Consider the following 27,824-nt stretch of genomic DNA (forward strand, 5'->3'; position numbering starts at 1 on the left):
TCACGCCTGTAATCCCAGCACTTCGGGAGGCTGAGGTGGGCGGATCACGAGGTCAGGAGATCGAGACCATGGTGAAACCCCATCTCTACTAAAATTACAAAAAATTAGCCAGGCACGGTGGCAGGCGCCTGTAGTCCTAGCTACTCGGGAGGCTGAGGCAGGAGAATGGCGTGAACCCGGGAGGCGGAGCTTACAGTGAGCTGAGATCGCGCCACTGCACTCGAGCCTGGGCGACAGAGCGAGACTCCGTCTCAAAAACAAAAACAAAAAAGTTTAATGATGAGTAGGTACAGAAAATAAATGTACAAAATGTATATGAGATTCGTGTTCTGATGACATACATTTAAAAATATGTTATGTATTGCTTCGTGTATTACTTCAACAAATATTAACTGCCAAATTTGTTTCAGGCTTGAATCAACGATGCAGAATGCTGAGAATAAAGTGATAAGTGATGCGTAACCCTTACCCTTGGGGAAACAAAATGTGTTTCTTTTAGCTAGACAGATGAAATTAATAAAACCTGGGGCATAAGATGAGTTATACTAAAGAGTTTAGCCTTTTCCCAAAGACTCTGGAAAGCAGATAGAGAATCTGGTTCATGTAATTACATGTTTATATAGGAAATATCACTCTGGTTTTAGGTAAAAATGAAGGGAGGGGAAAAAGAGTGAGAGTGAAGTATGGAGATCAGAATGGAGTTGATACAGTCACGCTGGGCGCGGTGGCTCACTCCTGTAATCCCAGAACTTTGGGAGGCAGAGGCAGAGGCAGACAGATCACGAGGTCAGGGAATCGAGACTATCCTGGCTAACACAGTGAAACCCTGTCTCTATTAAACATACAAAAAAATTAGTTGGGTGTGGTGGCAGGCGCAGGCGCCTGTAGTCCCAGCTACTCGGGAGGCTGAGGCAGGAGAATGGTGTGAACCTGGGAGGCGGAGCTTGCAGTGAGCCGAGATCGCGCTACTGCGCTCCAGCCTGGGTGACAAGTGAGACTCCGTCTCAAAAAGAAAAAAAAAAAAATGAAGTTGATACAGTCAAAGGTGGGATATGATAGCTCCCAAATTAGGGCTCATGACTATGAATTAAGGAAAGTAGATGCATTTTAGAAATATTTATGATGTGAACTTGCCTAATTTGGTTAGTAGATATTGCAGAGATAAGAAAGAAAAAAGAGATTTTAAAAAAGCTTTATAGCAAATTAATGGGACACCCAAGTTAAACATTTAACCAGTTTTTTATATACAGTCTTGAAACGTCCTAAAGATGGAAGTTTTCACTTGTCAGTTCATATATGTAGTATCATAATTAGTCTACTCATGTTGTGTTAATTTAGTATTTAATACTTTAAATAAGAAATATGAGGCAATAGCTCGTATTATGAAACTTTTTTCAACCTGCACAGAAAAGGTTTTGAAACCTAGTGTATTAGCTATTGCTTAAAACAATACAATTTATTATCTCATGTTTTCTGTGTCATGAGTTGAAGAATAATTTAGTTTGGGTCCCGTTTAGGGTTTAACAAAGCTGCAATCAATATGTTAGCCAGAGTACTAGTCTCATCTAAGGCTCAGTTGAAGAAGGAACTTCCTTTAAGCTCATGTGATTGTTGGCAAAATTCAGTCTTCTTGCAGGTTATCGGAATGAGGGTTATGACTTTTTTACCAGCTGCTGGACAGAGGCCACCCTCAGTTGGTTGTCATGTGGCCCTCTCCATATTCTAACTCACAAGATGCTCCGACCTCCCGCCTGTGCGCCCCAGTGGCGCGAACCGGAGTGCGCCTGCGCGCGGGCCACAAAGCGCTTGCAGCCGGGAGCTGCGCGGCCGCGCTGAGAGTCACGTGGTGCGCCAGGAAGCCGCCTAGCTTCTTGGAGAGCTCACTGCCTCGCTCCGCTCCTTTCCTGGCGGGAGGCTCTGAGCCACCCCCACCTGCGCAGGGCGGCCAGGGGTGAGTGTCCACTAGGAGCGTCGCGCCCACCCGGACTGTCCACGCTGGGGCGCAGGCCGTCAGAATGTCTTGCCCGGACCAGGGGACAAAATGGCGGCAGGGTGCGCCTCTTTAACTTACACAATACTTTATCACTCTTAAAACTTGAAGTTAGTTTCAGACTTGTTTATTTTTCACATTCTGTTTATTTGAAACTGACAAAAAGCAAGAAAACATATTGGAAATACACCAATGGCAGCTGGTTTCTTAAAAGCCAGCAAGGAAAATAGTGTCTTCTAGGAAGACAGCTGTTAAAATCTTACATGTCATAATTACATATAGCATGTCACTTTTGCTGTATTCTACAGGTTAAAACAAAGTCACAAGTCTGACCCACACTCAAAGGGAGAAGATTATGCAAGAGCAAAAGCACGAGATGGAAACCATGGGGCCATCTTATAGTCTGTCTGCCGGAGAAAGATGAACACAAATCCTGTGAGTCTCTAGATTGTGTTTTTTCTATATATGCTCAAAGATTTAAGGATAAAATGATACCTAAACCAAAACAATAGTATATTATACACATACCTTTCTTGTTTTAGCCTTACATGTTTGCTTTTCAGTATATCAAAAGTTGTGTTTGTCAACTTCAAATAAGTAATTATCCAGATATATTGACTCACGGAAAATACAACATTATTTTCCAAAGCAGTGAAAATTGTGCTTTGCAGCTCTGGAGATGCTACTTTGAGCAAAAAAAAATAAGCTTAGAAAAAAATGTGCCTAAGTATCAGGGTGTCTTGTAATTCAATTCAAATTCTTAAAGCTTCTTTCTGTTCTAATATTCTTTGGTATAATCCCTGATGAGTATTCTGTGTATATGGTAACACAAACAGGCTTAAATTTGGGACAATTTTAATACTGACTGGTAAGAAACTTATAGAAGAGATGAAAGAGCTGTTCTTACTGTTGCTTGTTCATCTTTTCTCCTAAGTCTTATTGAGCAGAATGAGAAGAAAATAACTCCTAATACACATCACATAAGCAATGCATATAGACTACGTGTACTGTCATTCATAAAATTTGTCTCTAACAGCAACTATGCCAAAGCTACCAATGTTGCAGCCCATTTAGTCTTCTGTAATGCTTTTCATTCCTTAATTCTCTTGGCCGTGTTCTTGCCTATCTAAGACCAGTTACAAAAGATAGTTTACTTTCATTTTTTCTCCTTTTCCCATAGTTTCACATCATTTAGGTAGAGCAGCAACTCCCAAGTGTTCCTGTAATTATTTAGCATAGAATTCTAAAGTATCCGGAAATGCAAAATTCTGTAATACTGTCCAATTGTTAATTTAATCACACATATACGAAAGAATTAAAAAACCTACAATGCTATTGCTAGCATGAGTGCTCCAAAATAAATTAGGCATGACTCTTGCCATCAAGGGGCATCCAATCTATTTTGAAAAATATATCTATGAAACAAAGCCTCGTGTTCAAAGTGCTGTGAGACTAACAGTAACAGAAGAGCAATGGTAAAACTACTAACAACTTAGTGTCAGGAACGGTATATACTTTTTACATGAATCATCTAGTTTAAAATTAGTCCCAATTCTGTGAGGATGAGTTCACTTTATTAGTTTTTTTTATTGTGACTATTAAAAATTAACACAATTTTAGTGACTTAAAGCAGTATAAATTTATTATTTTACAGTTTTGTAGATCCAGGTCTAGCACAGGTTTTACTGGGCTAAAATTGAGGTGTGGCCAGGGCTGTGTTTCTCTCTGGAGGCCCTAGGAGACAATGTCTTTCTTTGCTCATTTAGATTTTTGGCAGAATTCAGTTATATGTGGTTGTAGGACTGAGGTCTTCATTTCCTTGCTTCTAGGAGCTACCCACATTCTATGATTCATGGCCTCTCTCTCCATCTTTAAAGCCACCTATAGTTGGTCAAGTCTTTGTCTTGCATCTGACATATTCATCTGCCTTGTTCTTGTGCTTTTAGAAACCCATGTGATTAGATTGTACCTACTTTAGTATTCAAAGATAATCTCATCTCAGGAAGATTTACTCTTGTCTACACAGTTCCTTTTGTGGTATAAGGCAGTATATTCACAGAAAATTAGGGTGTGGACATCTTTGGTGTCCACTATCTACCAACACAGCAATCACTGTAGCCATTTAAAAGATGAGAAAAGTCATTTCCAAAGCTAAAAAGGACATTATTTAGACCCAGGGTGTATAATCTGTTTCAAGGCAATAATTAGAATCCATAATGAGTAGAGTAGAGACACAGAGGTGGGGCTCTATGTGGGTGGGGATGCTTATATTCTTCAAAGTTTAGCGATCACCATTTTTTGTTTTTGCAGTAAAAGTACTATAAACTCGACTGAAGGATATTTTATCCTCAACTAAGGGCACAGGTTTATACATGGGTGGATAAACACTAGTCAAATTTCTCTGTTTTTATGTTCTCCAAAATCTGTTCTGTGGTCCATGCTATCATATTAATATATGCGTGCAATGACCTTTTCACATATTCAGACTCATCCATACCTTACTATCATGTTTAAGTATAATAGCAGTTATTTAATCTAACTTCTGTATACAAATGTCCTGAACAAACTGGTCTCTCAGTGTTTTTTTCTGTTATCTGTTGACTTGTGCCTTAGATGATCTTCCTTTTTCCTGCCTTTGTCCTTCCATTTACACCAGCTGAATTATATGTTTGTCAAGAATTGGTTCTGTTCTCTTCAAAACTGCTTATGCTACTTGCAGTGGTTACGTGTTTTAATTAAAAACCAAAAATATGATTAAATGAGTTTAAAGTAGAGGAAGTTTGTGGTTCAATTTAAAATGAAATTAGAAGCTTTAGAGAGACTCTAAAGAGTAGATTTAAAATCTCACGAAATTAGGTGTCGAGGAGATAACTGTAGAAGACCAGAAAAATATTTGGATGAATTTAGCCCTCAGAATGACCCAAAAAATGTCTGATTTTTCACTCGGTTTGAAATGATGTAGAACTGGGACTCTAAAGAGATGCGTTATGCATTATTTGGATCTTGAGAAAATTAGAGAGACGGTATTGGATCACAGTCACAGAAAGGCCTTATATATTTTTCCAAGGACTATTAGGGGATAAATATATACATTTATGAGTTTGAAGTTAAAATATTAAGTCGATATCATTATTATGGTTCAGGTTTTAGTTAAATTTTAAATGACATATAATATACAATTTACATACTATAAAATTACCCTTTAAAGTATACAATTTATTTTTAATATATTTATAAAGCTGTCAACTACTGTTAGAAGAGCCATTCCTTGCTCCTCTCCTCCAGCTACTGGCAACCACTAATCTACTTTGTGTCTCAATGGGATTGTATATTCTGGGCATTTCATATAAATTGAATCAAACAATATGTAGCCTTGTGTGGTTGGTTTCTTTCACTTAGCATGTTTTCAAGGTTCGTGCACGTTCTTACATGAATCAGTAGTGCATTCCTTTTTATGGCTGAATAATATTTAATTTATGGATATAACAAATTTTGTCTATTCATCAGTTGATAGACATGGAATTTTTCACTTTTTGGCAATTATGAACAGTGCTGTGCGGAATATTCATGTATGAGCTTTTGCGTGGACAAATATTTTCAGTTCTCTTGGGGGCATACCTAGGAGTAAAATTGCTGAGTGATATGGCAATTCTATATTTAACTTTCTAGGGCAATATCTGCTTTCCAGAGAATTGCATATTTTACATTCACACAAGCAACATATCAGGGATTTGATTTCTCTACATCCTTGCCAACACTTTTTATTTTCTGCCTTTTAAAATTATAGCCATCTAGGAGAATGTCAAGTGGTATGTCACTGAGGTTTTAACTTGCATTTCACTAACGACTATTGATTTTGAAGATTTTTAAACATTAGTCACATATATGTCTTCTTTGAAGAAATGTCCACTGAAATCCTTTGCTTCTCCTTGTTTTTGTGCCATTTTTGAATGTTCTTTTTTATTTTTTAATTGACAAATAAAACATGTATTTGTTGTGTATCATATGATGTTTTGAAATACATTTACATTGTAGAATGGTTTAAAATGTTCTTAAATGGAATGAGTTGCATTGGGAATAAATGAGTTGTCAGTCAACAAATTAAGCACATGCTGGATGAGCATCTATATGGCCTTTACAAATATATATAGCAAATGATTCATGATTGTCCAACAATGTGTATGTAAGTTGCATGAGCTATGATCTGATGACACTCATGTCTTTGCTACAGTTCTCTTGTCAAACCCTGATTCATTGAAGATATAAATCTCCTTGAAAAAGTCCTTTGCCCATTTTTAATTGTTATCTCATTTTGTGTGTTATCTTTTTACTTTTTTCATAATATCCTTTAAAATACAAAAGTTGTGAAGTTTATAAAGTTTAATTTGTCTGTTTTTCTTTGGTTGCTTGTGCTTTTGCTGTCAAATGTAGGTAAATCATTGCTTAATCTAAGGTCACCAAAATATACAATTATGTTTTTAAGAATTTTACAGTTTTTACTCTTATATTTAGGATTTGGGTTTTCGATTCACTTGAGTTAATTTTTATAGATGATGATGCAGCACAAGCAAGCCCCGACTTTTGGGTTCAGCCCAGAAGGGTTCTTGGCTTTGCACAGGAAAGAATTCAAGGGTGAGTCAGTGCTATTAGCAATCTCTTATAGAACGGTAGGTACTGTTCTTTGTAGAGCATGCCTACCTCATAGGCAGTGGACCCAGAGTCACCAACTTATGGGCTCTTGGCAACTGTATTTATACTCCCTTACATTCACTTTCAATTACATGGATGGGTGAGTCAATGCAAATTGATGGGACAGTTTGTTTATAACTTTCTAGGAAAGGGGTGGTAACTTCTGGGTGGTTGCCATCGTACTTGTAAACTGTCCATGGCGTTGGTGGGAGTATCCCAGGCCAGTGAGCAATGAGGGCAACTAGGGATCGCTTTCATCGCCATCTGCTGGTTCCTGCTAATTTCTTCACTTTATCCTGTTTGGGCCAGATCCTGTTTTGATCAGCAGGGCTATGACCAGAAAACAAGTCGTGCCAGTCTCTTACCTCAGTATATGGTCGAGTTCTGCAATCTTTTTTTTTTTTTTTTCGCATGTTGATATCCAGTTATCCCAGCCCATTTATAGAACAGATTATTCTTCTCTACTTGAAGTTTTGACATCTTTGTTGAAAATTAACTGATCATAAATGTATGTCTTTATTTCAGGATTCTCAATTCTATTCCATGGATCTGTATGTCTGTCCTCATGTTGGTACAAAACAGTCTTGATTACTGTAGCTGTGTATTAAGTTTTGAAATTGGAAAGTGTGAGTCCTCTGACTTTGTTTTTCATTTTCAGTACTATTGTGACTATTCAGGGTCCCTTGCATTTCCATTTAAATTTTAAGTTCACCTTATTTTGCATAAAAGGCAACTGAGATTTTGATAGTGATTCCATTGAATCTGTAGATCATTTTTGGAAATATTTCCATCTTTAAAAGATTGTCTTCCAATCTATAAATGTGAGATGTCTTTACATTTATTTGTATTTTTGTAAATTAATTTCAAAAATTTTTGCAGTTTTTAGTGTACTCATCTTACACTTTTTGGTTATATTTATTCCTAGGTGTGCCATTCATGTTGTGCTAGTGAAAATGGAATTGATTTCTTAAATTCATGTCCAGATTGTTTATTGCTAGTCTGTAGAAATACAACTGATTTTTATGTATTGATTTTGTATCCTTCAAACGTTAGAAACTGAGTTTCTAATAACTCAGTTACTGCCTCTAATTTTTTATAGATTCCTTAGGATTTTCTCTCTGCAAGATCATGTCATTTGCAAATAGAGGTAGTTTCATTCTTCCTTTCAAATATTATTACCTTGTTTCTTTTTCTTTCCTAAATGCCATAACTGGATCCTGTAGTACCATGTTGAATATAATGGATGAAAGCTGACATTCTTGTCTTGTTCCTGATATTAGGAGGAAAACTTTCAGTCACTAATCACTGAGAATGAAGTTAGCATTGAGCTTTTCATAGATGTCCTTTGTCAGGCTCCTTCCTATTGCCAATAGGTTTTTCTTTTTAATTATGAAAGGGTTTGAATTTTGTCATACGTTTATTTTCTGTCTACTGGGATGGTCATGTGGTTTTCATCCTATGGTATTTGTTGGTTTTTATGTGATATACCAACCATGCATTCCTCAGAGAAATCCCACTCATTCATTGTGTTTAATCCTTCATATGTTACTATACCTGTACTAGTATTTTGATGAGAATTTTTGCACCAGTGTTCATGAGGGAAATTGGTGTGGTGTGTGTGTGTGTGTTGGGGGGTGGGGCTCTTTGATTTTGTTTTCAGGATAATACTGGCCTCATAGAATGAGTTGTGAAGTGTCTCTCCCTCTCTCCTCTTCTATTTTTTTGGAGGAGTCTGTAGAAGATTGTTGTTGATTCTTCTTTAAACATTTGGTAGAATTCACCAGTGAAGCCATCTGGTCCTGTGCTTTTTCTTATAGGAAGTTTTTCACTGTTAATTCAGTCTTTTTTCTTGTTATAGGTCTGTTCCAATTTTATAATTTTTTTCTGTTTCTTTTTTTGAGTCTATTGTTTCTGTCATTTTGAGGATTTGACCATTTCATTTAGGTTATCTAATTTGTTGCTATATGATTGTTTATAGTATTCCTTTACAATACTTTTAATTTCTAAGATAAGTAAAATATAAGTAAAAATACCTCCTCTTTTATTTCTGATTTTAGTAACTTGCATCTTCTGTCTTTGTTTCTTTATCGGTCTTATAGGTTGTTAATTTGGTTTGATCTTTTCAAAGAACCTACTTTTGGTTTTGGTTATTTTCCCTACTCTTTTTCATTTACTACCACTGTAATCTTTATTTTTTCCTTTCTTCTGTTTACTTTGGCTTTAGTTTCCTCTTACTCTAGTTACTTAAGAAGGTGCAAAGTTAGGTTATTAGTTTGAAAATGTCTTATTTTTTTAAGAGAAGTTTATAGCTATAAATTTGCCTATAAGTATTGTTTTAGGTGCATTTCATGTATTTTAATATGTTGTGTTTTCCTTCACTTATTTCCAAGTCTTTTCTAATTTACGTGGGATTTCTTCTTGACCTGTTGGCTATTGAATAGTGTATTGTTAATTTCCACATTTTTGTGAGTTTTCCATATTTCATTGTTACTGATATCTAATTTAATTGCATTATAGCCAGAACACATACTTTGTATGATTTGAATATTTTTAAATTTATTGGACTTTGTTTTAAGGACTACCATAGGGCCTAATCTGGAGTCTGTTCTGTTGGGTGGAGTATTTTATAGATGTTAGTTCCAGTTCATTTATAGTGTTGTTCAGATGTTGTATTTCCTTCTTGAATTTCTTTCCAGTTTTTTAATTTATTGTTTAAAGGGGGGTTGATTTTTGCAGCTGTTACGGTTGACATGTCTCTTCTTCAAATCTGCAATTTTTCTTTATGTATATTGAGCTCTATTGTTTATTATATGTTTTTAATAGTTATATTTTCTAGATGAATTAACCTCTTATTATAAAATCACCTTTGTATCTAATAACAATGTTTTGCCTTATAGTCTATATTGTCTGATGTTAGTATAGCCACACCAGTTCTCTTACTATTGTTTGCATAGTATTTCTTTTTCCATCCTTTTAATTTTAACCTGTTTGTGTCTTTGAATACAAAGTGTATCTTTTGTAGACAGGTTATAGTTGACTCATGTTTTTTATCCATTCTTCCAGTCTCTACTTTTAATTTGAGGGCTTACTCCATTATTATGTAATGCAATTACTGATAAGACAGGACTCACATCTGCCATATTTGTGTTTCTTTTATGTACTCCTTACGTATTTTTTAGTTCCATTAAATTACTGTCTTCTTTTGTTAGGTACTTAGAGCATACCATTTAATTCATTTGTCATTTCTTTTAATATGGTTTTGAGTTTTTTTAGTGATTGCTCTGAGGTTCACAATTAACATTTAACTTATAAAAATCTAGTTGAGATAATATCAACCTAATTTCAACAGTATACAAGAACTTTGCTCTCATAAAGCTCATTCCCTACTCTTTCAGTGTACGGTTTTGTCACACAAATTGCATCTTTATATATTGTACGTCCATCAACATAGACTTATAAATACTGTTTTATACAGTTATCTTTTAAATCCCTTATGAGGAAAAAATTAGTTAATAACAAAATACATTTATATTCTCTTTTCTATTTACCTATAAAGTTACTTTTCCCGTGCTTTTAATTTCTTTCTTTGAATTCAAGTTATTCTCTAGCCTCCTTTTATTTCAGCCTTAAAGAATCTCTGTAGAATTTCTTGTAGAGAACTTCTGCTAGTGATTTTTATAGTTTTTTCTTGCCCATTTAAAATAAATGATACATCTTTTCATTGACAGGCTTTCCCCCCACTTCTTTTTATTACCTTGCCACTTATCTGTTCATCAACCCTGGACATTTGTCCTGTAAGGTTTTCCATGGTATGGACTTCACTTGTTATGTACTAATGCTGTGGTTTAACGTGTTTTTTGTCCTTGCTATTTCTTTAAATACTTGGTGATGGATCTCAGGCTTCAACAGGCTCATGTTCCATTGCATTGGAAAGACGGTAGGTGGTATTGTGTTCTTTAATCAGGAGGTACGTGATGTCTAGTTGCCTCACTCTTTGTTATATTAGCGGCAGAATGCCCAATGATTAGATTCATTAATTAGTTATTTTTGAAAAATTACAGCATTTAAATTCTGTCAGATTTTTTCTTTTTAATTTGCTGTGATGTTTTATATGAAGACACTTTTTATGGGCTACTGTTTGATTAATTACCTAATGGTACTTCCTATAGACGAGGCAGGATAAATGCTTGATACTTTCCCTTTGTTTACCATTTTTTATGCTATGATTCAGTTTCCTGTTGTCCTCCAAAGAATATTCTTTTTCTTAAATTTGTTTGCTTGATACTATGTTGTTGTTGTTATTATTTTTGGTACTCTAGAAACCAGAAATATAAAATTGGACAGAATTAGAGTCCATGCCTTTGAAACCCCTGCAACCTATATTCAGATTAAGCCACATTTTGAAGCTATTTAGGGAAAATCACATAAAAAATGAGATCTTCTCTCTGATTGTATGAAAACTTTGACCCTCCTGTACACATCTCTGGGATTCAAAAGTACTGAACAATTCCAATAATCAACAGCATTTGTAAGCACTAGAAAGGAATGAGGTCATAGAATTTAGAATAGAGAAAGGACAGACAATAAGCCAAAAAAAATTCATTTATAAATACACAAATATCCAAATATTGTAGATGTTCTGAATGAGTAAAATGTAGTGCAATGAGTAAATCTAATGAAGAACAACTCATTGAAACAGAATGGTGATTTGAAAAAATCAGTTTTTAAATTGGGTCTGGAAGAATGAGTGGAAGCCAACCAAGCAAAGACAAGGGAAAAACCTTTCAGGCCCTGAGAGCAACACATGTGGAGGGAGCTGAGGCATGAAATATCTTGGTGTAATTTAGGCAAAGACAGGAGGCTTCCCCTGAGAATGTTCCTTAACTTGACCTGGGAACTGCCAGGTACAACTTGAGATGCAATAATAAACATTATTTTTTCCCGGTTTACAAATTAATTTTTTTCTGCACATGAACTTACTACTAATCAGTGAGAGTAAAGAAAATAACTGATGTCAACCTTTTTTGTTTGTTTGTTTGTTTTCAGCGATAGGGTCTCACTCTGTTGCCTAGGCTGGTTTTAAACTCCTGGGCTCAAGCAATCCTCCTGTCTCAGCCTCCCAAAATGTTTGGATTACAGGCGTGAGCCACTTTGCCCAGGCAACACATTCTTTATGTTTCGTCAAGCTGCCCTACCTAATATTAGATTTGCAACAAGTTTCCAAATCTCCAAGTGCAAAAACATTTGTTTCACTATCAGAGAGTCAAAGTTTTCCTCAGATTCTGTTTCTGAAATATTTCCAGTAACTGATAAGTGTGGACAAGTTCATGCACTAAAGGCAGGGTCTCTTTTACTCCTGGAGTTTCTAGGATGGAAGAAAGAATGGTTTACTCCATTCAGTGCCTCAGATACAGTTTCACTACCCTTTCTATTGCAGTTTTTAAACCAAATCAGTTGATTTACATAAAATGAAATTCACCAATTTTAAATATACTGTTAGATGAATTTCGACAAATACATACACCCACGAAGCCGTTATCATGATCAAAATGTAGAACATCTCTGTCATCCCCAAATGTTCCATTATGCCTTTTAAAAGTCACCCCCCTTGACTCCAGGCAAGCACTGATCTTGCTGTCACTATAGGTTAGTTTATCTTATTCTAGACTTTTATATAAATAGAGCTATAAGATAACGTCTTTTAGTGTAGGCTTTCTTTTTTCCAGCAGAATGTTTTTGAGATTGGTTCATGTTCTCTTGTATCCATAGTCCATTCTTCATTGCTAAGTAAAAAAGTGTTCTATTGTTCTGATATACTAGTATTTATTTATTTGCCATTTGGTCAACTTTTGGAGTATTTCTGATTTTGGTCTATTATGCACAAAAGTGCTGTAGACAATTATGTAGAAATACTTGTGTGGACGTAAGTTTTCATTTTTTCCTGGGTAGATTTCTAGAGGTAAAACTGATGAGGTATTTATACATATAGTAAACATATGTATAGGAAACTGCCAATCTGTTTTTCAGAGTAGTTCTCCAATTTTGCATCCTCATAAAACATGTACAAGATTTCCAGTTGGTCTGCATGCTTCTGAACACTCGATATTGCCAGACTTCTAAGTTTCAGGTATCTTAGAGAAATCTCATTATGCTAATATGCATTTTCTTGATGATTACAGATATTGATCATATTCACGTATATTGGTCATTTATAAATCTTCTTTTGTAAATTATTTGATCAAACAAGTTGCACATTTTAAAGTTGGGTAGTTTGCTTTGTTATTGAGTTATGGTTGTCAGGATTATTAATCTATTCTTGATATGCCCAATTATGTAATGCATCATCTATTCTTGATATGAAATCTAATAATATATAAATCTACCTTATAATGTAATTTATAATCTATTCTTGATATGCCAATTATGTAATTTTTACTATCTTGAAGTTTAGACTTACAAAATTTTGTAAAATCTAATTTTTTATTTTGTGATTCATTTACTTATTTATGCTTTTCAAATACCAGATTTTTAAAATGATTTGTGTTGTTCTATTTAGAAGTCATTGCATTCATGAATGTTACAAGGATATTATATAATTTTTTCTAGAAGTTGTTTTTATAATTTACTTTTCAGAGTTTCAACGGTATCTATTTTTATGTAATTTTGTGTACGATATGAGATAAGAAACAAAGTTCTTCTATTTTTCATTTGGACATCCAATTGTTTTCATTGGATTTGTTGAAAAGAAAAGCTTTTCCCTATTGGATTTTCTTGGCAACTTTGTTGAAAATTTTTATATTATACCCATGGGCGTATTTCTAGACACTTTCTTTTCTTTTTTCTTCTTCTGTTTTTTTTCAAGATGGGGTCTCGCTCTGTTGCCCAGTCTGGAGTGCAGTGGTGCAGTCTCGGCTCACTGCAGCCTCCCCATCATGGGTTCAAACGATTCTCCTGCCTCAGCTTTCCGAGTAGCTGGGACTACAGGTGCATGTCACCGCACCCAGCTAATTTATGTATTTTTTGTAGCGACGGGGTTTCGCTGTGTTGATCTGGCTGTTCTCGAACTCCTGACCTCTGGTTATCCACCCTCTTCAGCCTCCCATAGTGCTGGAATTACAGGTGTGAGCCACCATGCCCGGCCTAGACACCCTATTTTCTTTCACCGATCTAATTTTACACTTTTTTGTTCACACCAATGCTGCACCATTTTGATTAATGTAGCTATAAAGTTACGTTTGAAATGAGATAGTGTAAGTCCGTCTGCTTTGTTCTTACTGTACACGGTGTTTTTTGCCTCTTCTGGGTCTTTTGAAAGGCCATATAAATTTTAGAATTCGCTCATCCATTTCTATTAAAAAGTCTGTAGGATCTTTGCATGGAATTGCCTTGAATGTAAAGACTGGTTTAAAGAGTACTGAGGTCTTAATAATACTTAGCCTTCTGATTCTCAAGAACATTGTATCTCTCCATTTACTTTCATCTTTTTTCATTTCTCTGTGCACTATGCTTTTTCCATTTTTCAAAATGCAGTTCTTATATCAATTTTAAATCTGTTCCTATGATTTTAAGTTTTTGGATGCTAACAATAAACCATTCTTTTTAAATTTGAATTTACAATTCTTATAAGAATATATATGTATTTCATTGTGTTACATTATTAGCTTCCCGTATTAGTTCTAGCAGCAGCTTTTAAAATAGCTTCCTTAGCATTTTCTCTATACACAATCATGTCTTCTGTCTTCATTTCTGTCTTACTTTCTAATGATAAAGCCCATAACCTATTTTGCCATGAAATTTTTATTGGAACTTAAAAGTTCTTTCAGAAAAGGCCATTTGAAGACAGGCAACCATCTATAGATAGTTATTTCTTTCTTTCCATTCTCTGTGTTCTTTTTCTTCTTTTTGCCTTATTGTACTGGTTACGCTTCCAGTGCAATGTTTGAATACAGGTTGTAAAAGAGAAATTCTTGCCTTGTTACTGATCTTAAGGAAAATCCAGAGTCTTTCATTGCTGGGAATGCTGTTATCTGTAAATTCTTCACAGTTGCCCTTTAAAATTCTGAAAAGCTTCTTCATTTCTATGTATATGAGGGATTGGCCTGTACTCTATTAATATTGTATTTTTGGCTTGTTTTGGTGTAATGCTGGTATTATAAAATGTGTTGATAAGTGGAAGAGAAAAATACACAACAAAAATGATTGTTAAGTAGAACAATTAGTGTTTAGTGTGTACAAAAAATTGAATATGGAAAGTTTCTGGATGGGGGAAGAAAAAACACAAAGTTTATTTTAATAGTACACATAAAGAAACTAAAGATTCAATACAGACATATATAAATACATATAAATATATTTAATTAAATATACACATTTAATTAAACCAGGAATTGTAAATAATGCTGAAAGCACCAATGCAATTATTATAGCGTGAATTAATCTGAAAGATCTTTCTAAACAGAATTCTCTGGATGAGCTTTGGAATACATAAACTTTGTAATAATTCTCCTAATTGTCATGTTTCCAACACCCTTCCCTGAATTTGAAAGAAGAAAATTACTTACTTGTACTCAGGTTTGTTTTCAGTCGGTAATTTACTATGTGGGCAGTTTCATATTCTATTATCTGTCTTACTTTCTCATGATGAGACCCAAAACCTCTTTGCTTTGAGAACCTTATTACAAATTTTAAATCCCTTGAAAATAGTCAATCCCCAAAACTCCAGTTCCTCCTCTTTTCAATAATTCCTTGAGTTTTGTTGTTATCTTGAAAAGTGTGTAGGGATACTCCAGAAGATTTTATATATTATCTCACGGTCAAATGATGTACAATTATAGATATTACTATTGATAAGGGAAAGGTTCCCTTGTCCCCCTGGCAGGGCATGCGATGAGGGTGTGGCTCGCTTCTTCAGTGCCCTGCTACTCAAACCTCTAGGGTAGCATACAGATGGGTAGGCTGTGGGGCTCCAGACCCGTGGCAGTGTATAGGGGAGGATGTTTACAGCTCCTGAAGCCTCAGTAAGCGCATGTTACAGGGTGCTCTCTTAATTTGCGTCTATAGGCAGCTTGTGTTAACCAGCAATTAGACCCCATTTCTTATCACAAGGACAAAGGGATTTCTGTATCCCGGGGTTTCTTGCTTTGATGTATCGGAAGAATCAGATCCATGGGCTTGGAGTGTGAGTGCAAGGTTTTACTGAGTAGAAGTAGCTTTGAGCAGATGGGGCAGCCAGAAAGGAGATGGTTTTCCCCTGGAGTCGGGCTGCTGAGCATCTCCGACTGCCCCAGCCAGCCAGTTGTGTCTTCTTTCTCCCATGTGTTCCTCACAATGTCCAGTGGCTTCTCCTCATGAGGATCTCAGGTTTTTATAGGCCCAGGATGGGGGTGTGGCAGGCCAGGTTGGTCTTGGGAAATGCAACATTTGGGCAGGAAATGCCTGTCCTCACCTAGGTCCCTGGGGGTGGAGCCCTAGTTAAGGACCCACCCTTCTCTACCCAGCACTTCCCTTCCCCACCTTCCATATCATTTAAAGGGACCATGCTCTTTCCTTCCCGGCACTCCTGTATCACTAAGTTAATTCAAAAATGATCCGAGAATGTTTTACTTTTATGCCAATTATCTTAAAACTTTACTTCGTATTTCCACCAGCCAATTTCTTGAGTCCGTGTGTGTGTGTGTGTGTGTGTGTGTGTGTGTGTGTGTATGTACATTAAACAGAAAATCTGGTCTCATCTGTAAAGCTTGACCCAATGACACTTTTGAAATAGATAATATTTGACAGATCTTTTCTTCAAAATACAACCTCACTTGATTGCACTCTATCTTGGGTTTTAGCTTTTCTTTAGTCAGTCTCTTCCTTCAACTAGGAAACTCCATATTGATTTTTTTTCACCTCAAATGGATTCATTGGTTTCATTAAGAAGTTCTAAATTTCACCATGTATATAACTGAAATGGATGTCTCTTCAAGACAAATGGATGTGTATTTTGCTGATTCTTTCAGTTGATTAAATGACTTTATGTTTATTACATTATTATATACAAATGATCATTGTAAAAGGAAGCACAAAGTATAAAAATTTAGTCTTTTCTTATATTTACCCTGACCCCACTAGTCAGATGTAATAGTAACAACTTGATTTGAGTCCTTCCAGATATATAGTGCTAGAAGATAGATAAATAGAATAAATGAAAAGTCATATGAGATAATTTATTAACTTGTTTTATTCCTAACTGTCTCCCACCATGGAATTTTAATACCACATATATCTATTTATCTGTGTGTGTATTGATGCATATCTATTGTTTTATACATAAAAATAATAAGGTTCTTTTTCTCCAAGAACCATTTTTTCTTCCTTGGGTGAGATATTGCCCCTACAGAGAACCTGCGATTTAGATTATTGTGTTATTAAAGCTCTAATTTATACAATAAGACATGTAAGTGTTTCACAATTCTGAATACGACTTAATATGAAAGAGATTTATGAAAAGGAATCCCAAATAGAAGTTTTTAATAGCTATAATATCAAATAATAAAAACGACCACCTTTGATGTTGATTAATTTTGATATCATGGCTATTTGCTTAAATTAGCCAGTTCTTACCTAACATATTCTATTTCATAGAATAGTTATGATGTGAACATTATAAGATCCTTGTATGATTTAACTAAATAATCCAGGTGGCTTTTGAGAGGGAGAACACTTTTTTAAAAATAACTTTTGACTTTTCTCTTTTGTCAGCGTGCAGAAAAGTGTGACACTAAAAGAACCAACCTGATACTACTATCCTTAGAAAAGCCTGCATACAAGGTTGGCTGTCATCTGGGAATGTAGGTGATCAAGAGTTCTCTCCACTGACATAAACTTTGTTTAAATAATAAGGATGACTCATTGTGACTAGACTATGCAAATAATGGGATGTGTGTTAAACATCTCCTTTCCTTCTGGGAGTCTGGAATTTTGGTGTATGCTAAACAGTGGGTGCCTGCAAGACCAGCCTCAAATAAAAACCCTGGGCACTGAGTCTCTAAAAAGACTCCCAGTAGGCAATATTTCACACGTGTTCTCACAACTTACTGCTGGAGGAATTATGCACGCCTTGCATGACTCTATTGGAAAAGGACTCTAGGAATCTTGCACCTGATTCTTACCGACTTCTCCCCATAATCTTTTTTTTCCTTGTATCCTTTCCATGTAATAAACCTTGGCCATGAGTCTTGCGAGTTCTTCTAATAATCATTAAACTGGGCGCTGGTCTTGAAGACCCTTGACACAGTTAGTCTATTTGGGATTCCTACTAGAGTATCGATATGAGTTGAACTGTGTTTCCCCAAGAAGATGTGTTTAAGTCCTAGCCCCCAGTAACTGTGACTGTGACCTTATTTGGAAATTGGGTCTTTCCAGATGTGATCAAGTTAAGATAGGGTCATACTGAATTAAAGTGATTCTTAATCTAATGTGACTGGAATCCTTATGAGAACAGAGAGAGAGACAGACACAGAGGGAAGAAGTCCACATGAAGATGGAAGCAAAAGTTGGAGATATACTGCCATAAATCAAGAAGCACCTGGGGCAGGTAGAAGCTGGAAGAGGAAAGAAAGAATCCCCTGAGCCCTAGAGGCTGTAGAGGGAGCGTGACCCTTTGAAAACCTTGATTTGGGACTTCTAGTCTCCAGAATAGTGACAGAATAAATTATATTCTGTATATTTTATGTAATTATATTCTGTATGTTTTATATAATTATATAATAATTACATATATATATGTTCTACAATATAATTATATGATAAGGGATTACATTCAGCCTGTTTAATATATATAATATATAATTATATGTATCATTATATAATATAAATAATCTAGGTGGCTTTTTAATATATATAATTATATGTTATGTATTTATATATCATTATATGTTAGATAATTATAATTATATGTTAGATAATTATATATAATTATATGTTATATATATGAAACAGGCTGAATGTAATCCCTTATATATAATATATAATATGTGTTATATAATATATATTAATATAATATATTGCATTACTTAATATATAATATATAACATAATCATATAACAATTATATATAGTTATATAATTATATAATTATGTTATATAATATAATTATATAATTATATATAATATATAATATAATTATATAATTATATATAATATATAATATAATTATATATTATAATGTTATATAACATAATATATAAGATAATTATATTTTATTATATATTATATAATGTATAATTATATATAATATAATATGTTAGATATTACAATATATTAATATTATATATTATATAATACATATTATATATAATTATATAATTATATTGTAGAAAGTCACCCACTTTGTGATACCCTGTAACACCACTCCTTGGGAACTAGTACAACTGTCAATTTAGATTTTTTTTATTAGGGAAGAAAATTACCCATTATATTTAGTTTTTTAAATATGTTCATCATATACAAAATTTTATTTTTGTTCATTTTTGTAACTATAATAAACACTTAAAAACAGAAGTTTTGTCCGATTGTTCACTATGTATCTTAAGTGACAAGAACAGTGCCTGGACTAGTAGGCATTTTGTAAATATATTTAATAAATACATAAATATATTAAATAAATAAATACATTGAATACAGAAATACATTCAAAAGAATAAATGAATGTATATAGAGAGGAGATTTGTTACCAATATGTGAGTTAAAATCAGAGTGATATGTCAATAATTTGTTTTAATTTTCTATTATTATTTAATTTTCTATTATGGTTTAACATTGAAAATATATTATTACTTTCCTTTGTCTTCCCTTTTGATGATTCTGTCAATATTATTCCACAGTGTTTTCCTTTGTGAAGAAAATACAGCTGTTCTGGTTTGCATTCAATTAACATTAACCTGGTTTTCATGATAGGATATTTGTCAAATTTCTCTTTTTCCACTTGTGCTTTTGAAATCTTGTTTCATCTCCTTATTTTTTAAACTAGTTTTGTAAAGTTTCCTAATTATAAATCTCTCTGTCTCTGTCTCTCTGTCTGTCTCGTGTGTGTGTGTGTGTGTGTGTGTGTGTGTGTGTGTGTGTGTGTGTGCGCGTGTGTGATAAATCTGTTCTGGCTGCACATTCACCTTCTACAATTCAGGCCAGCCAAAGCCCATAAATTATAGGGTAACTTGTAATAAGCAATCTAGAAGCATACTGTTCAGGAGAAATATAATGTGTACCACATATATTAATTTTAAATTTTCTAGAAGGATACTAAAAAAGGAAAAAGTAGATACAATTTAATTAATCAATTTTAATAGTACAATTTAAACATATCGAAATAGTATTAAACATATCCAAATAGTATTAATTTAGCATGTCATCAATAGAATATTATTAACAAGGCATTTTACACTTTTTTGGTACTGTCTTTGAAATCCCATATGCATTTTGTGCATATGACAGTTCTCATTTGGACTTGCCACACTTCAAATGCTCAATAGTCATATGTAGCTTGCAGCTACCTTATTGGGCTGCACACTTCTAGTGACATCTTGTCATTAGCACCAGTGTATGTTAAATATATCTGATTTCATTATTATTAAAACGTCCCCTGAGTAAAGGCAGATGCTGTTTCCCAGAGTTGCTGGCAAGCTTGATGTTTGATGAGTCTAGTAATGCATAGGATCTGTTCTCAGGTTGCTTCATCAGCCATAGCCCGTCTCCTGAAAGATGGCTCCCTCTAGTGTCTCTACTTGAGTTAGTGAGTCGATTTCAGGATGATGTAAATGCCCTTTCAGCCTTTTATCTTCTCCCACTAAGGATTTACCATATGTAGGACAGGTAACCACTGAATTTCTGAAACAGCCTCATGAAATCCAGTCAGTACATTTAGCAGCTATTTTGTATGGCCAGGGGAGAATTTAAAGGCTTAGACAATTCAGCAGCTACAGCAGGGAGATCTTTGGGCTGTGGATCAGGATGGGCTGGAAAAGATAGGGAGGGTTACTATTGGGTGCAAATGCAAGGGATAGATCTATTCATAAATGCTGTGAACTTTGGAACCCCCAGCTAAAGTGTACACTTGAGCACCATTTCCATTTAACAGTGTGCTCCATTGGGGTGTTTCCTCAATTTGAATGTTTCACAGACATCACCTAAGTCATGATGGGTGTTTCTGGTTTCAGGATTGCCAGGTCTCTTGATGTAGGAGCAATTCCTGCCAATGCCCAACAACAAGCTCACAATTATGTTTCTAAAGGGCTGAATTGAGCAGCTGCATCAGACCACTTTCAAGTCCAAAATCTCTGCCGTCTCCACTGAGCAGCAATATTGATTTCTGCCAAAAGCTCTAGTCTGTGTGTGTTCCAGTTGTTGACACTTCTACAATCATTTGTGCATTCGGGTCATAAGGCTCAAGAGACACTGCCTGATTGACAGCCCTTTATAAATCTTTTATTTGCTTGTTTCTGTCAGGCCACAATTCAATCTCAGATTTCTTTCTAGTGACTTTGTGGAAAGGACTAACAATATCCCAGAGTGGAAGATGTGATTATGCCATAACTCAAACAGATTCTCCAGTCTCTGGGCTGTTTAGTAACAAGGTCAAGATCAGATTCTAAATTATTTCTTATGATAGGAGGAAAGCCTCTTGTGATCTGGCTCATGTTCTTTTCTAAATTTTCAGGGACTGGGGCAGGTCTTGAATTGTACTGGGGTTTATCTGCCGTGCTTTATTGACAGCTGGGTGACACAGTCTCTAAAGTATACTTTGCTTTTTCCTCTGAGGAGGCAATTAAGATATCATTGATGTTATCAACTTACTCCTGGTTATCAAGATCAAGTGCAGCTACGCTGGATTGTGATAGTATACTGGTTAGCTTAAATGTCTTTTTGTTAATATGTGGAGGCAGTGTTCTTGATTGACTTCTGAAATAGGTGTACAAAAGAAAGCATGAGCTAAGATCTATACTGAATGCTCTCCTTTGATCCATTGCCTGTTGGTGCAATTGTATTGGTTTTGCTTTTTGTTTTTCTGAATTATATCTATAGCACATCCAACGCTATGGTGGATCTACCTAGATGAACTCCCAGTGGTCCACTATCAGTATGTGTAGATAACCTGCTTTGCGTTTTTGGTGTGTAAGGGCTATTAAAAGAGAATTATTGGGTTTACTGATTTTTTAAAGATTGAGTAGTATTCCATTGTGTATACATACTACATATTCTTTATTCATCTGTTGATGGATACTTGGGTTGATTCCGTGTCTTGGCTATGGTGAATTATACTGTAATTAACATGGGAGTGCAGCTATCTCTTTGCCGTATTGACTTTACTTCCTTTGGATATATACCAAAAAGTTGGATTGCTGAAACTACCATATGCTACTTCTAATTAGAGTTTTTTGAGGAACCTCTACATTGTTTTCTATGGTGGCTATACTAACTTACATTCAAACATACATTAAAATTCCACATTGTATACCATAAATATAAATAATTTTCATTTATCAATTAAGGAAAATAATTAATGGAGATCAATATCACTATTTCAATCATTAATGCTAATTAAAGCATTAATGTTCTCTTTTACTTCTGGAACTCTGTATTATTTAGTATTTTCTACAGAGGAGGTCTTAGGCAATTGCAAAGATTGTAATTTATCATTTCAGGTGACACCAGGTGGAGGGTGACTATGGAACATGGAACACACGCAGTGTAATAATGTAGGAGCAGAGTCCTCCATTCTCCTGTGACACCCATTCCCATTATACACTTAGGTAAGGGAGATGAAATGAGAGAATACTTTCTCCAGTCGTATTTTCCAAATTAGAGTTTAACTGGTACGTTGTTATTGTCTACCACAGCATTTCCGCGTTCTCCAAGTTTCACCTTTAGACCTCTTAGACTGTCCTCCTAGCCCCTATGTGGATTTCCATAGACTGATTGCGAAGAGTTAATAATTCCACATATTTTAGTTATTGCCCTCAGGCCATTCCATCCACATCACTTTCTAGTTCTTTGGATTCCCTCACTGAGGGGTGGGTGGGCAGATCCCAAATCCTTACTTAATTTACATAAAAAGGAAATATGGCTTTAACTGAGGGATTACATTCAGCCTGTTTAAGTATTTCCATTCCAAATCATAATCCTTATGATTGGATTTGTACTTATCCATGCTAAGTTATATGTGGAAACTTCGAGGGGGCTTCTTAAGGTATGCATGTCATAGCCAACAATGAAGTTGGATTTTTACCTCTCATGCTTCAAGATTATACCGCCAAAACCCTACCAATAATCCTCTCAATTCCCCCTTTTTCATCCTGTTTTTCAGCAGCAGTGGAACAATTCCAGCAGAGTAGGTCAAGCATCACTGCTTTCCTTCTTCTTTATAATTTCCCTCTTTAGTCTCACCTTTCTTTCGGGAAGCATGAACATTTCTGCTACCAATTAATCCCATACATAATAACTGAGGTTACTGTCTCTTGAGTACTTCTTGACCACTAACTAAAACTATGAAACATGACAAGCACAAATTTAGGGATCCCCATAAATCACAGCATCTATCATGGTTTGGGTCAGTGGTATCAAATAGGTATCCATTGTCTTGATTGTATTTATGATTTCAGGGATGTATACATATGCCAAAACTTAAAGTATATGCAATTTGTTATATGTCAATTATATCTCAATTAAAGCTGTCAAAAACTGTAGCTGTATGACCCCAATTGCCATTTAACCAATCTAAAGTTGCCTCCACCTTTATCATTTCTACTGTTTCAGAACCTCCAAGCTTGTGCATAATTATCAATGGATAAGAGACAGAAGAAGCAATATACACAGCATCTGGGAGGCTCCTAATCCACAGATAAGGCTTCCTAAGCTTCCTTTCCTATGCTAGACATATTTTGGTGATGGAGTATGACAAGCACACGGGACACATTAGCCATGGAGGCTGCTGAGTTCTGGAGTTCCACTAGACACATGGTCTTGCTGTGGTTATATGTATAACTTGCATGCTTCAGCTCAGCTTCCCATGATTTTCAGGATAATTTAATATGAGCAGTCTAAATAGACCAGGACGTAATGCTGAAATGATTTCTAGATCAGTAGTCAGCGCGTAGCCAACCCTTTCAGGACCCTCATTTGTCTTCTATGTTAGTGTATTCCATCAGTCGATATTTGCAAAGAATTCTGTTCAGAGTCAAAACTTCTTCAGAGATCCCTAAGGAGGGAGGAATAAATTACAGGCCCATGGTTACTCTTTCATATAATATCTAAAAGGCCATTATGTGAAAAGATTGTCTCTGAAATCTAATTCTTGCCTCAGCCAGGTCAATTTAGGAAAACTGCACTGGCAGCAGCCAGCTCTGTAATGCTGCCCAAGCAGATAAAAGCTTGTAGATTTGAATAAGGCCCAGACCGCGCTTGCTGCCTCTGTGGAAACAGATGTTTTCCTGTGTGAAAACAGCCACTTGCCTATGGACAAAGCTTTTTATAAGCTGGTCGTGGACACAGATGTCTTCAATTTTTTTTTTCACTGTAATGATACTGCAGTGAACAGCTTCTGAGATGGCCCCTAGCAATCCTGCCTCCACATCCAGGCCTTTGTCCCTTCCCTGTGAATGGGTGCTGGCTGAGTAGTTTGTTTCAAACCAGCAGAATATGGCAAAAGTTGTCACTCCCATGATTAGGTTACATGATATAGTCGAGTAGAATGTATTCCTTTGCTGGCTTTGATGAGGCAAGTTGTTTTATCAGGAAGGTCCACATGGCAAGAAACTGAGGGCAACCTCTGACCAACAGCCAGCTAGAAAACGAACCCTCAACCCAACAGCTCATGGGAACTGGATCCTGCCAATGATCATATAAGTGGGCTTGGCAGTTGATCCTTTCCCAGTCAAAACTTCAGACAAGAACACAACCCTGGCTGACAACTTGATTACAGCCTATGAGAAATTCTAAAGGAGAGAGCCCAGGTAACACTCATAGAAACTGTCTCATTGGCCGGATGCAGTGGTTAACACCTGTAATCCTAGAACTTTGGGAGGCCAAGGCAGAAGGATTGCTTGACACCAGGAGGTTGAGGGGAAGGAGTGGCTTTGGGTATAAGTGCAATTTAGGCTGAATCCTGGAGGAAACCTAACGTTCCTTTGAAAGATTTGAGGTTTATAATTAAAAGCAGAGATTCCATAGACTTGGCAATTTAAAAATACCAGATGTTGCATTGTGAGCAGGAGGATATCAGTTCAGCACCTCTACCCCCCAAAAAGAAAAGAAATTCAGGGAGGGAGCAAAGAAACATTCCTAAAATGAATTGGAGCTGGAGGCCATTATCCTAAGTGAGTTAATGCAAGAAGAGAAAACCAAATACTGCATGCTCTCATTTATAAGTGGGAGCTTAACACTGAGCACACATGGACATAAACATGAGAATTACAGATACTATGGAATTCTAGAGTGGGGAGGGAGGGAGGGAGGGAGCATGGGTTGACAAACTACTTATTGGGTGCTGTGCTCGCTACCTGGGTGCAATATGCCTGTGTAAAAAAACTGCCTATATATGCCCTGTATCTAAAATAAAAGTTGAAATTAAAAAAAATGTGTGTGTGTGTATATATGTATGTGTGCATATATGTACATATATATGTATATACATATATACATACATATACACGTATCATACGTATATACGCACACACATGCACATACATCCAAGAGACAAAGATAAGTGGGAAAAATATAACTATATTTTAGCATACTGGATGTTTCTATATTTTAGCTTTTATCAGTTTTATAAGGAATCATGCAATAGCAATCTCTTGAAAAACAAATCCCTCGGAAGCAAAAGAATGCTGTTTAAATTACTATTCTCATTGCAAAGTATAGAGATAGCAAGACATTCAGATCACTAAATTCACCTTCTAACATTAGATTATTTTTATATTTAAACTTTGAAGTTCACTGAGCTTTTACATTTTAAAGATATTAAAATATGAAATTATGTTTTAGTTTGAATGATTTTCTTTAATTAACTATATACTTTTGTGGAATTTTTTGAAGGCGATCTAGTTAGCAGGAAAACTGATTTTCTCTCTGCTTTTTACTGCTTCCCATATTCTGGTGGAAGTTACCAAAACAATTCAAAATGTGTTCAGGATATATGTAAACTTACCTCGGGGCTAATAAAAAATAAAAGGACATAATTTTGAGGAGGTTCTGCTATATTTAGCAGAGATTGGATTATTTTGAACTAAGATTGTAATGATAATCCAGCAAATCTCCCTTTTTTGATGAAACCATGTCAAGTCATTCTGTTGGATATCATTGGAGACTGTTATCTAAGATATTTAATGAAAAAAATGGAAATCAATAGCTTGGAGGTTAGGGCAAACTGAGCTAAATAATAAAGATTTCATTTGGAATCCTGTTTGTCATTAAATATCAAAAAAATTTGAAAGACTTAGGAATGTCCCAGGAACATAGTAGGTGCTCAACAAATACATTAAATGTGTGTGTGTGTGTGTGTGTGTGTGTATAACACTAAGGGTTTGCCTACTAGTCTTCTATGGGCAGGAAGAAGGCTTTGTACATGGCCTGTGGCTTCTTCAGGGTTTTCCCCTGACAAATAATGCAATTCTGCTTATGTCTAGTTGGTAGAATCTACTTACAAATGTTAAAATAGAACACCTGCACTCCCATAATTACCAGTGGATTTAATTTAATTCATTGAAACTTACTAGATTCTAGTGGTGTGAAAAAGTACATTACATTTGAAATGATTTAATTTGTCTGTTTTTCTGGTTGCCTTAAATTCTATCCATTTATTAATCCGAGGAGGAATTAGTCATGAACCCAGTATTCTGATACAATATGGGATAACCTTTTCTCCAAAACACAATTTTCCATCATTGTCACTGCAATTTTGAGAGGTGTATTACCATACAACAAGATAAACACTGTGTGATTTAGTATAAGGTATTGTTGACAAAGTTAAGTGCTTTACCTGGAATGTGTTTAATGATGCCCATGGGAGGGAAGGTTTTCTGAGCAGATGTAAGGATAATTTTGTTGCCTCTGAGCATCGGCTTAACATCATTAGGACACTACCAAGCAGGAGGGAGAATGTGCTGCCTTCACTGCACAAACTGAAGGAGAAAATGAAATCAATTCAGCCGTCCTTTTTGGTAATTTTGTATGGACCAAGTTTTGTGTTGTATTCTGTATGTTTGTTTTATTTTTACCTGATCTTTACTACTTAAGTTTTATTATTTTAATAAGTAGTAGTTCTTATTCTCATTAAACTCACTATACTCTTATTATACAGTTAATATCATACTCAAAATATTTTTATTGTTTTTCAACTTATACAAATTTATGGAGTAAATGTAAAATTTCGTCACATGTATATAATGTGTAGTGATGAAGTTAAGGTATTTAGTGTGTCCATTACCTGAGTACAATACATTTTTGTTAACTATAGTCACCCTAATCCATATATTTTGAAAGTTGCTGGAAATCATTTTTGGAAGAAACTAGGACAAATTATTCAATATTTAAATAGCAGGGAAAATATATAAAATATGTTCAATACTTCTAAAATATCTGCATTTAGGGCAAAGGACATGAACAGACACTTCTCAGAAGACATACAAGTGGCCAAAAAGCATATGAAAAAGGGCTCAACAACACTAGTCATTAGAGAAACACAAATGTAAATGACAATGAGATGCCATCTTACACCAGTCAGAATGGCAATTATTAAAATGTCAAGAAACAACAAATGTTGGCAAGGTTGTGGAGAAATGGGAACAGTTATACACTGTTGATGGGAATGCAAACTAGTTCAGCCACTGTGTAAAGTAGCTGGAGACTTCTCAAATAACCTAAAACAGAATTACCATTTGACCCAACCTTCCCACTACTAGGTGTATATATCCAAAGGAAAATAACTTACTCTGTCAAAAAGACATATGCACCCGTATGTTGATTGCAGTGCTGTTCCCAATAACAAAGACATGGAATCAACCTAACTGCCCATCAACAATGGGTTGATTAAAGAAAATGTGGTACATATACCTCACTGAATACTGTACAGCCAAAAAATGAATGAAATCATGTCCTTTGCAGCAACATGG

At 35.3% G+C, this 27,824-nt stretch overlaps 1 long non-coding RNA gene across 1 annotated transcript; it reads left to right on the forward strand.

Annotated features, from left to right (window-relative positions):
* Positions 1 to 1,799: 1,799 nt before the first annotated feature.
* On the forward strand, positions 1,800 to 25,280 carry LINC02125 (long intergenic non-protein coding RNA 2125). The gene is made up of 4 exons (NR_110934.1): positions 1,800 to 1,951; positions 2,299 to 2,425; positions 22,359 to 22,466; positions 23,470 to 25,280. It is a non-coding gene; the product is annotated as a long intergenic non-protein coding RNA 2125 (long non-coding RNA).
* Positions 25,281 to 27,824: the final 2,544 nt, after the last annotated feature.

The sequence above is a fragment of the Homo sapiens genome, chromosome 16, assembly GCF_000001405.40.
Source record: "Homo sapiens chromosome 16, GRCh38.p14 Primary Assembly".
NCBI lineage: Eukaryota > Metazoa > Chordata > Mammalia > Primates > Hominidae > Homo > Homo sapiens.